We start from the raw sequence: 13199 nt of genomic DNA on the forward strand, positions 1-13199 counted from the left end.
GGGTTGAAAATTAGCCCATTTTGTAACACATCTCTGTGTACAATTACTGTTAAAAGTTGAATATGTGAAATCTGGTGGCATAGTAAGCACTGATAGAAATTAGGTTATTTATTAATTTATTATTGATTTGCCTTATGATTGTAGAAAGGGTATGTATTTGTATAATTTAATGACTTAATTACTCTCATTGTAAAAGCTGGATAAAATTATATCTGGTCTATTCACATCATTAGTATATTGCAAAGATGCTTGACAGTGGCACTGATGGCTTTGGGTGGTATGATATTTATCAATTATAATTTTTATATAATTGACATTCCAGTTCCTGTTCTGTCAGTATATATCTGTGTGAACTTGATTATACTTAAATCTTTGTGCCTCAGTTTCCCTATTTATAAAACAAATATGTTGAATTAGATTAATTCTTATTCCTTGGGTTCAAAAATTACATAACTGTAAAAAAGCTTTTGTCCATTATAATTTTTTAACCTCACCTAAAAATGCCCAAATATAAAATAATGATATATGTGCACTTCCTAAACATTCATGTGCACATTTTGCATATACCCAGAATATTGGAGCACACATCTTCGCAAGGAATATAGATTTATATCCTAAATTTGCTTTTGTTTCTAAGAGAAGAGATGAAGAGCTCATACCTTACCACCAGCAAGAATAAAAGCTTTGTTTCTCTCCTCTGTTTAAGTAATTAAAATATCTTTGCTCCTTTACTTTATGATTTCCCATTTTGAGGGTCCCTAGGGGTGAGAGGAGCGCTCATTAAACAACTCATCTCTTTCCTGCCTGAATTCCACATAGAGAACTAACTGATGGGGGCTAAGGTGAAGGAAGTGGCTCGGGAAGAGAGTGAAGGAGGCCTGCCTAGTGTACCCAGAGTTAGGGAGTCTCATCTATCCTCTGCAGTCCCTGCTGGCCAGGAGTGGCCCACACAGGGCACATTGCTGTTCCAGTAAAGCCAACTGCACGGACAAACAGAGGAGCAGCAGAGATCGCAGTGAGCAGCCTCCCTACCCAGGAGAGAAAAGGAGAGCAGAGTTGATCAGGCTGGTCTGGATATTTTCCCCAAATTTACAAAGCCAGTGCGTCACTTCACTTCTCCAGAGGAGAAACAAAATGGGAAAATTGGCCCAGAGGAGCACCAAGACTGTGCTTACGGAAAATCACCAGGAAATGGGAAAATGTGTTCCCTCTAAACCTAGAATCATCGTCACTAATAGCTGTGTTCTCTATAAATAAACTTTTGAAAATTAAAAAAGTATAAAATGCCAAGATATGTCGTGTAAAACAATTTAATGTAACTTTTCAAGTAGACTTGTCTGTAATGAGACCACTCTTGGTTTTAAATTTGCAGATGCTCTTTGCAAAGAAAGTAGCATGTGTTTAACATTTACCTTCAGTATTAACTGTGTTAATACTACCATTGCTTATTTTGACATTTTAGTTTTTAACATTTATATTTGGAGGAATTAAAAAACGACTTGATTTCAAAGGAGGTATAACTCATTTTCACAATCTGAGTTCATGTGAATGTTTTAGAAGAAATTTCAGAAATGGCTTTGAAGTTATCTGAGAAAATGTTTACAATTATGCCATTTGGGAATTACAATTCTATGTGTTGGAATTGTTTCTATGGAGATACAAATTGCTGTACAATGTAGAATGTAGTTTGATAGAATGAGAATGTTAGAATTTTCACAGTGCTTAAAGACTGGTAATTAAACTATAACTAGCAAGGTAAGAACAAAATAACCACATCTTAAGTACAGTTTGACTTTCATGACTAAAGATAAAAATTACAGGGAGGTAGGATTTTATTTCACTATAAAGATGAACTTCCTAACGGTAAGAGCTATCTAAGATTGAAATGGGCTGCCATAGTTAAACAAAAAACATAAAATTACTTGGGGATAGTATTTGAAGGGGAGTCACTCATGCTTGTATTGTACTGCATGCCTTCCAAGATCTCTTCCAATTCTAATACTTGTATTCTATAAGAGCAACAGAATCATGCAATGATGAAAACCTTTTCACCAATTTTTTCTTTTGTATTAGTTAATAGACAATACTAAGAGTACACAGCATGCCTCTGCTTGCAATAATAGAAAAGAACCAAGAACATTTAAAATGGGCTATTGAAGGAGACCATTTGAAATAAATTTTTACAAATTAAGGTGTTAAATCATATCTATTTTCTAAGCAGATTTTTAAAAAAGATCCTTGCAGGATCTTTTTTACTGCTAGTATTCCTTTGTTAGTTCTGAAAAGAGATTCTGTGCATTACTCTGTAAATAGTACTGTATATTACTAAAATTTTATTGGTAAAATTATTTGGCTGATTCTAAAGTTTAGAAGAAAAACACTGAACAAAATTTCCCAAAGAACGGACTGTATTAATTTGAAAGCACAGTCCTGGGGAGTTCCCAAGTGGATGGGTTCTAGTGACCTGGCAATTATTCATCAATTAACCACAGCCACTTATTATCTGTATGAATGGAACAAAGTTGATACACAGACCTTGAGGCAACAATGATCAGGATATATGGCTAGTTTTCTTATTCCATCTCAGAGTTACACTTCAGAAACAAATTTCCTTAATATTTGATATTAAGTGTCATGCCCTCAATGACAACTAGGAGGAGCTGTTTGGTCTCGACTCTGCCTCAGAACTCTTTCCATGGGATCAAACATTGCACCTTGTACTGAATTAACCTTTTGTGTCTTTTGACCACATACGTAAAAGGTAAATAAAAATATATGTATTTTAAGCTCTGTTAAAAAAAAAACACAATTGCTGGCCTCTTGGATAATTAAGAGTTTATAACAATGAAGATTGCTTTGTCCTTTGTTCTCAAGATGCCCTCATGGGCTGTTTTAGAAGGATGACCTGTTCAATTTTCACCTCGGTCATCATCTCTGAGTCCTGTTTTTGCACATGGGGACTTTCAGTGCTCCTTACCTCTTCTTTTAGTTTGAAAATAAAGGGTTTTAAAGTCTCAATCTAGGGTCTGCACTGAAAAACGTCTTTTCTCTCTAGTGGTTATGCTAATGCAAGTTCTCCAATGTTACTCTGCATAACTGAATCACTAACTCTGCATTTCAAAGTGCCAACACTGGTAAACCTGAAAATTTATTAATGTAACAAACATTGTGCTGGAAACAAAAATATGGTTTCTGATCTCAAACATTTTAAGATCACATTGGAGAAAAGACACGAACTGTAATATCTTCACAATTGGTAATAGCAGCAGTTAGAAACAACAGGTTAGGCAGTAGAGGACATTTTCTCTGTCACAGAACTGAGAAATTGTCAACATATATACTTTTTTTGGTGTGTGCATTTTGGGGAGTAAAGAACATGGGGATGAGTAAAATTTATAAACCTTTATTTTTTTGCGTCTTCCTAAAATGTCAAGTCTTTAAGAACCCATCAGCAAATAATATTAGCTTGATCATCCTCAAATAATGTTAGATTGAGTCAAATGAAGTAATTATTTCTGTAGGTCACAACAGTCAATATTGGCAATTTCATATGGTTCACCTAATTTTAAAAAAGTGTGCATTAGTTTTCTTTTTTTGAGACAGAGTCTCACTCTGTCACCCAGGCTGGAGTGCAATGGCACAATCTCGGCTCACTGCAACCTCTGCTTCCTGGGTTCAAGTGATTCTCCTGTTTCAGCCTTCCAAGTAGCTGGGATTACAGGCGCACACCACCATGCTCAGCTAATTCCTGTACTTTTAGTAGAGATGGGGTTTTGCCATGTTGGCCAGGCCTCTGCCACCATGTCTGGTTAATTTTTGTATTTTTGGTAGAGACGAGGGTTCACCATGTTGGCCAGGCTGGTCTCAAACTCCTAACCTCAGGTGATCCGCCCTCCTCAGCCTGCCAAAGTGCTGGGATTATAGGTGTGAGCCACTGCATCTGGCCTTGGGTTAGTTTTCTGGGGCTGTAGAACAAATGACCACAAATCTAGCCCGTTAAAACAACACTCATTTATTGTCTCACAGTTCAGTAGGTCAGAAATCTGGGTGGGCTTGACTGGGTTTTCTGCTTAGGGTCTCATGAGGCTGAAATCAAGGCTGGGCTCCTATCTGAAGGCTCTGGAGAAGAGTCTGCCTCCAAACTCAGATGGATTGTTGGCAGAATTCAGTTCCTGGTGGTTGTTGCCAGCGGTTGTTTTCAGAAACTAGAAGCAGCTCTCCAGTCCTTGCACGTGTTCCCCTCCATCTTCAGGTAGCAGTGGCCTTGTGCTTTGAATCTCTCTGACATTTCCTCTGTCACCAGTCTGAGAAAGCTCTTTGCTTTTAAAAGGTTCATGTGATTAGATTAGGCCCACCAGATAATCTGCTTTTAATTAACACAAAAATAACTAATTAATAACCTTAATTACATCTGCAAAATCGCTTTTGCCACATAACATAACATAATCAAAAGTGCAGTGAGAGGTTGTGTAGTAAAGTGGCTAAGGGCATGGGCTTGAGAATCAGACTATCTGGGTTCAAAGTCATGCTCTATCACTAAATTAGGTGACACTGGACAAAGCTTTTTAGCTTCTCCGTGCTTCTGCAAAACAAGCATCATCTTTAATAACCTGCCTTGTTGGTTGGATTTTAAAGGGATCATTCTTAACAAATATTTAGCAGAGTGCCTGGCACATAATAGTTGCTCAATGAGTAACATTTAGTATTATTATTGTAGAAAAAGAAAATGAGAAAGAAAAAGTGAGAGAAAAGAAAGAAGTGAAAGAAAATTGTTGTAGACAGAGTGATCAAGGAAGGATTTATAAAGGAGGTGAGGCTTGAGTTGGATTAAGGTTAACTGAATTTTTGTAAGCATGAAGAGGGGCAATGTATTCATTCTAAATTATAACAAATTTACCAATAAAAGGTTTGTATTTTGTAGAAATGAGAAACTGATTACATCTGCTTATTTGGACAGTGAATGGAACCACATATTCTGCCTGTTGGCAAACACCAAATCTGTATAGTTTATTTTCTTCAAAGGTAAGTAATGAGAAAATTAACTGACAAGGCACACTGGATCAACAGGTTACTATGCTATATTTGATAAATAGGCTTATTCCTGATACCTCAGACTTACTCCAGGATTTTTTTTTTTTTTTTAATAGAGTCTCGCTCTGTCGCCCAGGCTGGAGTGCAGTGGCATGATCTGGGCTCACTGCAACCTCTGCCTTCCAGGTTTAAGTGGTTCTACTACTTCAGCCTCCCAGTAGCTGGGATTACAGGTGCCTGCTACCTCACGTGGCTAATTTTTGTATTTTTAGTAGAGACAGTGTTTTGCCATGTTGGCCAGACTGGTCTTGAACTTCTGACCTCAAGTGATCTTTCCGCCTCGGCTTCCCAAAGTGCTGAAATTACAGTCATGAACCACCGCGCCTGGCCAGGAATTTGGTAAGCCATGTTTACATATACAGTGGACCAGGTAGGAACCCTAAATATGCTTTTCCTTGGATTGGTCCAAATGCCTTGGTCATTCTCTCCCAGCATAATCCAAGCAAAGATAAACAATGACCAATGAATAAGGCTCAGTAGTCAATCGGTTGAATGGGAAAGCACCACAGCCACTTAGATCATAAAAAGCCCAAGTCTGCAGCCACTCAGTCAGTCCATTCTGCTAGCAAATTTCTGTTTATATATCTTCTCTCCAAGAAGGGGCTCTTCCAAAGCTGGCCCTAGATAGTTCCTCAGCCGATCGGTGAATTAATAGTCAATTAACTAAGTATTAGGTTGATGTGAAAGTAATCACGGTTTTGCCATTGAATATGTTACATTGAATATAAAGGCAAAAATTGCGATCACTTTCATACCAACCTAATATTATCACCTCTTTTTCTAATATGTGACCCTGTGATAAGAGAAAACCCCCCGATTTTCCTCTAAAGACCCATTCATTCTCCACTTTCAGTGCATGCTTTTCAGGTCCTGCTGATCTCAGGGTGGGATTTTGATTCAGGTCCCAGTAATCAGAGCACTGCAGTACCTGATTACCAACAGCCTTTACTATTTGTTCATGGCTGGGCTTGCAGTCCAAACTAGGCCAATGGAAACCCTTCCTGAGAATTTTTAAAGAATTAATTAATAATCACACTTCCGTTTGGAATTGCTAAAGTGGTAGAATGTAGGTGTGATGCTACTGGTGATTACTCTGCCTCTGTGTGGGAACAGCCTTCCTGAGAATGAAGGCACCCCAAAGAAAAGTGAGCTCTGAGATGGAAGGGCTCAGCTCTGAAGATGTCATTTGAGCATCTATACGGTGCTGCATTGTACATATCATGCTTCTGGACTTCTAAGTTATTGAGCCAATAAGTTATTATATTTTGTTTAAGCACATTTGAGTTTGCATTTCTGTCATTGTCAACCAAGAGTTCTAACAGTCGGCTCACAGAGCCTCCGATGTAACGTTCCCACTGTAAACATTCAGATTGATTAATTAATTTGAATCCCAGCTATAGAACCCTGATAGAGAGAATCTCTACCCTCTGATCCAATCAGACAGGCTCACAGAGCACAAACATACCTGTTGTACTCTGGTGGGTGGGTGAGGGGGGATAGTGATCATGGAAGAGGAACAGAGATACATAACCAAAGCCATTTGGTTCAAATGTGTGTGACTTTTATAATCAGACAATAAGAATATTTATTTTGAATAATCACTTAAAACAATTTAAGTAGATTTGAATAATCTATTAACAAATTTTTGCTTTTTTGTTACATTCAGTGGCTGCCAAGAGTTTTTAATCACTCAAGTGATTTTAGTTAACAATTAATAATGAAAATCTAAGCAACAAAAATGTTCACTCTAAGTCATTTGACATAAGAGAACTAGTGCTCAGATGGTACACGGAGAACCCATTTTTCATTTCCACGCTTCACAATCTCACACTCTTTTGCCAAATTCCTACAACCAGTCCTTAATGACCTAGTCTCAGTCTCAAAGTACCTCTCTCCCTAAGGCATCCTGTCTCCCCAGAAACAGGAATGTATTGCTAAGTGGACCTTACAGATTATTTAGGCCAGCTTTCATATGAGATGAAAAGTTTCAAAGAAGTCAATAATAGTGAAACATTTTTTTAAAAGGTTGGGGGGGGGATTCTAATTTTATTGAAATCCCCCAAAGAACTTGATATTACAGGTGACATCAGTTCCAGCTCAGACTGTAGCTAGTTGAGTCCTCTGTTCCACAGATTTTATTCCTAAGTAGATCTTTGCCTTTAGAAGTGAGTGTCAAGCCTATTCAGTAATTTCAAGCTGGAAGAGACCTTGGGAATTTTCTAGTCCATATCTGTCATTTTATTTTTATTTTTATTTTTTTTGAGACTGAGTCTTGCTCTGTTGCCCAGGTGGGAGTGCAGTGGTGCTATCTCGGTTCACTGCAACCTCTGCCTCCTGGGTTCAAGGGATTCTCCTGCCTCAGCCTCCCGAGTAGCTGGGATTACAGGCATGTGCCACCACGCCTGACTGATTTTTGTATTTTTAGTAGAGATGGGTTTTCACTGTGTTGGTCAGGCTGGTCTTAACTCCTGACCTCTGGCGATCCACCTACCTTGGCTTCCCAAAGTGCTGGGATTACAGGCACGAGCCACTGCACCCGGTCCATACCCATTATTTTAAAGAGGAGGAAACTCAGGCTCAGAAAATATGGACCAATAATCAAAGCAGGGAGACACGTACATCCCAGGAAGGAAAAATGGCTGGAACAAAGGCGCTGAGTCAAGAAAAGATATACTCAGGGACAAAATTTTGAAAATGAATTTGGATGTGACTTTAGTTGCTTAATGGGTTGACTGTAAACTTGAAAGGTAAATTATTAGGTCCAAATTATAGAAGGTTTTGAATGTTAAGGTGAAGGGTTGTTGCTTTGTTTTTAACTTTATAAACACATAAAAGTAGGGAAAGTTGAATAATGAAAGCCATGTGGTTACCACCCATTTTCTACAATGATCAACTCATGATCAGTTATATTCCTTCTATGACTCTACTTCCTCCCTCCTTCTCTTCTGTCTCCCAGATTATTTTGAAGCAAATCTTTGTCATAATATAGCTTTATAAATATTTCAACATATTTCAAGCCCCAAACTAAAGACTTAGAGGGTTTCTAAGTATTCTGTAGATAAGAAGAAGCCTTTGAATATTTTCAACCCAGGGAGCAACATGTTCAGAACTGCAGAAGGCTCTTCCGGCAGTTCCATATGGGATGGATTGGAGTAGGAAGTGGCAGGGTAGTGTAAGCACTTGATATGCCACATTGTCCTTGTCACAGAAGCGTTGTTTCCTATTTTCCAAGTTTAACGTATGCTCTATAGTTTCCCTTGCTGGTATTTAAGGGTAGAAATAATTTATAGATTCTTGGCCAATGGAGATATTTCCGTTTTAGAGGTTTTGTCATTCTGACATTTCAGTTTCACGCTTTGTAGTTCTTTTATGCATTGAGGTGTATGGCAATAATGTAAGTGTGAATTTTTCTATTTCTCCTTATGTATTAAATATTCACCTTTTATTTTATTATATTGCTTAATGAGGACATTCTGTGTACTAGTTTGATGTTTATGGAAGAAAAACAAAAGCTTCCCTAGCTCTAAAAACTTGCCTTTTAAGTTCCTCATCTCTATAAGTAGCAAAACATAACACATAAATTATTCAGGCAATACAAAATGAAAATAAATACATTTCAATTGGCTATCTAAGAGATTATTTCTCTGTGCATTGAGTCTTCTTTTATGTAGTCACTGCAAAACCATGAAAGATTGAAATATTTTCTGAATGAGAAATCTTTCAACATGAAGCAGCACACACAGCACTGTGAGCAGAAACTAAAATAAACCCTGTCTGGCCTCAAGGTTCATGTTGCATATTTAGAGTTGGAAATACTCATTTCAGGGTACATTTTTCTTTAACCCAGTCATCCCAGAGTGGAACAACAACATAGAGAATAGATAAGATTGTCTGTCTGGCTAGCTGAACACACTGTCCTTCACACTGCTGAGAAATTTGCAGAGTATGGTAGAGGTTTTTAGATCTTGAAACTGTACAAGGCACTCTTCTGCTTTTAATTTATGCTTTGAAGATTTATACAAAATAGAAAGACCAAATAACTCACTTTCCATTTAAAGTGCTCACGTTTTCCATCTGGTACATTGTTATGAATAACATGTCTGCATGACATAACAGAAAATTTTTCATACCAGTGCGGGTCTGCCATCAATTTATAATCAGAAATGTCACATGACGTATTGAAAAGAAATCAGAATTACACACGGTTGCTGCATTTGCCTTCTTATATTTCTTACCAGAAGCCCTTTTCCTTCTTTTCAGCTGCCTCTGTGAATTGTGTGGAATCATTAGAGAAAAACCCAAGTAGAGAGCTAGCAATTTTACAAAACTGTAAAAAAGTTCTTTGAATAACCATAACAATGGTATATTTTCAGTGCTTTTCCTGTTATCTTTTTGGTTGCATTTTTAAATCAAAACACAAAATTGATAGATGACAGATAATAAAAAATTTTTATAACCAGATCTCTTCTAATGCTTGAAATTTCAGGTGAATCAACAGAAAGCAATATGAGCATGATTATGCTGCTATAATGGGTCAGACCAGTACCTCATGCTAACTAAAAGTCTGTCTATGACTGTGGCAGTCATGTGTATTTTCTGAAAAAGAATTCTAGCTTCTCTACAGGATTTCAGACTTAGAAAGTCAGAGACCTGCCCAAAGCTTTCCCAAACTTCTAATTAACAGAGGGCCAAGGCAGAGAACTTGAGTTCTCATTACTGATCTCCCACTAATGGGATGTGCCACCTTAGGTGTATTGTTAATTTCTGTTTACAGTGTTTCACTTTCTTTATTTCCAGATAAGAAAAGATTCTAATTACAAAAACAATTTTAAAAGAGTCTACACATAGAAGATAATAATTGCTATTATTTTTACTTATCTAAATCTAGGGAATCATGATTGCCAACAATCACTCAGCACCAACAATTTACTGAATGTTTATCTGCCTGCATTCTTCTTGTGGCTGGAAATGTAGCAGTGAACCAGACCGAGACCCTGATCCGCTGGGTATATAGCTGGGGGAGTCAGACATTCATGAAAATGACTTCTAGTGCCACAGATATTTCAAAAGATGCAGTAAAGAGTTCTGTGGGTCTGAATGATATGGTGTGCTAACCAAATATGTGAAGGTGGCGAAGGTCTCCTAGAAGAATTGGTGCAAAACTTGAGTCTCAAAGGATGAGCTGGGTGAGGAGTTGGGCACAGTATTCTGGGCAGTGGGAACATCATGGACAGAAGCCTGAATGCAGCGGAGAGACTGACTCACTTGTGGGCATGAAGGAGATCAGCATGACTGGATTGGAGCTCACTTCCTGGTGTTTTCACCTCATTGCATGTAAGCATCAATGGACCTACCCCTGCTTCTGGCCATATCAAACAGTTCAATAGTTTGGCATCTTTGTGATCAGCTTACAGAAGTGCTGTGGGCTTTGTCAAACCAGTTAGGAAGCTCTAGCTTACTGGTCGAGAGAACTTGGCATGAGAGGATGCTGACGAGTTAGACAGAGGTCTGATTGGAAGGGGCTGGGTGCTGAGCGGGAGTTGGGAAAGGAGGAGTTAGTGCAGGCAACACATTCAAGATCATTGAAGGTTAGTGATATGGTTTGGCTGTGTTCTTATGCAAATCTCATCTCAAATTATAATCCCCATAAACCCCGCGTATCGAGGAAGAAACTTGGTGGGAGGTGACTGGATCATGGGGCCGGTTTCCCTCATGCAGTTCTCCTGAAAGTGAATAAGTTCGGATGGGATCTGATGGTTTTATAAGTGTGTGACAGTTCCTCCTTCATGTGGTCTCTCTCTCTCTCACCTGCTGCGATATAAGTCGTGGCTGCTTCTCCTTCTGCCATGATTGTAAGTTTCCGGAGGCCTCCCAGCCATGTGGAATTGAGTCAATTAAACCTCTTTTCTTTATAAATTACCCAGTCTTGGGAGGTTCTTTAAAGAAGTGTGAGAACAGATTAATACAGTCAGAGAGGCCTTTCTGAGCATAAGTTCTTGACTATACTAAGGGCAATTGAGAGCCATGGAAAATGTTTAAGCAGGAGAAAAGTTTGTCTGAGAAGGGGAGGAAGAGATTCTGAGGTGCCTTTAAGAAATCCACTTGTAGGGGCCAGGCGCGGTGGCTTACGCCTGTAATCGCAGCACTTTGGGAGGTTGAGGCAGCGGATCACGAGGTCAGGAGACCGAGACCATCCTGGCTAAAACAGTGAAACCCCGTCTCTACTAAAAATACAAAAAATTAGCCGGGCATGGTGGCGGGTGCCTGTAGTCCCAGCTACTCGGGAGGCTGAGGCAGGAGAATGGCGTGAATACGGGAGGCGGAGGTTGCAGTGAGCTGAGATTGTGCCACTGCACTCCAGTCTGGGCCACAGAGAGAGACTACATCTCAAAAAAAAAAAAGAAAAGAAAAAAGAAATCCACTTGTAGCCGCTAAGGTCTGGAGCTCAGAGAAGAGTCTGACCCCAAGCCCAGTTCTCCAGAGTCATTTTGATTCTAAGAAACCTTGATATTCTTTCAATACGTTCCTTTTTTTTTTTTTGTCCACCATAGCCCTGGTTGGTTTCTGTTGCTTGCAATGAAAGAACCCTTACAAATGCAATAATGCAGAAGTAACAATGAAGATGACACTGATTCACACAAGATTTAATTTGTTACATGAGTAAATAAACAAAGCAAAATGAACAGAATTTACTATACTGCATCCCTGCTGGGAGTATGTTGAGCTATCTGGCCTGGAAGGCCTTTGTGACCTGTTGAAAGAATATACATGGATTTACTTCAGGAGAAAAATAAAGTGTTATTTTAAAAATGGATCATGTTCATTGTAATTAAGAATAAAGGTTGTAAAAACTATGGATTGTGGCCGGGCTTGGTGCCTCACGCCTGTAATCCCAGCACTTTGGGAGGCCGAGGCAGGTGAATCACCTGAGGTCAGGAGTTCAAGACCAGCCTGACCAACATGGTGAAACCCCATCTCTACTAAAAATACAAAAATTGGCTGGGCATGGTGGTGGGCACCTGTAATCCCAGCTACTTGGGAGGCTGAGGCAGGAGAATTGCTTGAACCTGGGAGGCAGAGGTTGCAGTGAGCCAAGATCACACCACTGCACTCCAGCCTGGGCAACAGAGGGAGACTTTGTCTCAAAGAATAATAATAAAAAAAATTGTGGGTTGTATAGAAAAAAATTACAGTGGAAGCATTATATGTGAACTTCATTGGAGAAATATTTATTATGACATATAGAGTTATATATATGAGACATAAGGTTAAAAAGGTACCTTACTTTTTGTCATACTTGTATAGTCAGTGAAAGGCTTTTTTCTGTATACATTGGAAAACTAATTTTTAAATTTAATATTTAAAGCATGGCCGGGCACGGTGGCTCACACCTGTAATCCCAGCACTTTGGGAGGCCGTGACTGGTGAATCACAAGGTCAGGAGATCAAGACCATCCTGGCTAACACAGTGAAACCCTGTCTCTACTAAAAATACAAAAAATTAGCCAGGCATGGTGGCAGGCGCCTGTGGTCCCAGCTACTCAGGAGGCTCAGGCAGGAGAATGGCGTGAACCCGGGAGGCGGAGCTTGCAGTAAGCCGAGATCGGGCCACCGCACTCCAGCCTGGGCGACAGAGCAAGACTCCGTCTCAAAAAAATAAATAAATAAATAAATAAATAAATAAAATAAAGCAGATAGCAGTTGATATATATGAATTGGGCACAAATTAGCTAGACTATCTTCCTAGGGCAAATGATGTCATTTTATTTGACTCCTTTTCTGTTTTAGCTGAGTTTTTTCCAGCTACTTTAATAAAGAATTAATGATAAATTTTTTCTCTACTTGTATTACTTCAGCAGATTAATTTTCCATTTTGTCCACGTAGAGATTAAGATGGTAGCATCCCTATACAAAATCTTATTACCCATATTCACTTGGAAAAATATCATGAAAAGGTTTTACTAAAATGAATGAGGTGAAGCCATTCAGTTTTGACTGTAAGTTTCAGAGGTCGTTTCATCAATGCGTAAGTAGCCTAAAGACTTCACTGGAGTTTTATAAGAATGCAAAAGAGAAAAGCAAACCTACGAAGACGCATAAAAATTATG

The 13199-nt window shown here is 38.8% G+C and overlaps 1 long non-coding RNA gene across 1 annotated transcript; it reads left to right on the forward strand.

Annotated features, from left to right (window-relative positions):
• The first annotated feature begins 1736 nt into the window (after positions 1-1736).
• On the forward strand, positions 1737-11901 carry LOC102724849 (uncharacterized). The gene is made up of 4 exons (NR_110607.1): positions 1737-1755; positions 4922-5022; positions 9980-10425; positions 11643-11901. It is a non-coding gene; the product is annotated as an uncharacterized LOC102724849 (long non-coding RNA).
• Positions 11902-13199: the final 1298 nt, after the last annotated feature.

The sequence above is a fragment of the Homo sapiens genome, chromosome 2 (genome assembly GCF_000001405.40).
Source record: "Homo sapiens chromosome 2, GRCh38.p14 Primary Assembly".
Classification (NCBI taxonomy): Eukaryota; Metazoa; Chordata; class Mammalia; order Primates; family Hominidae; genus Homo; species Homo sapiens.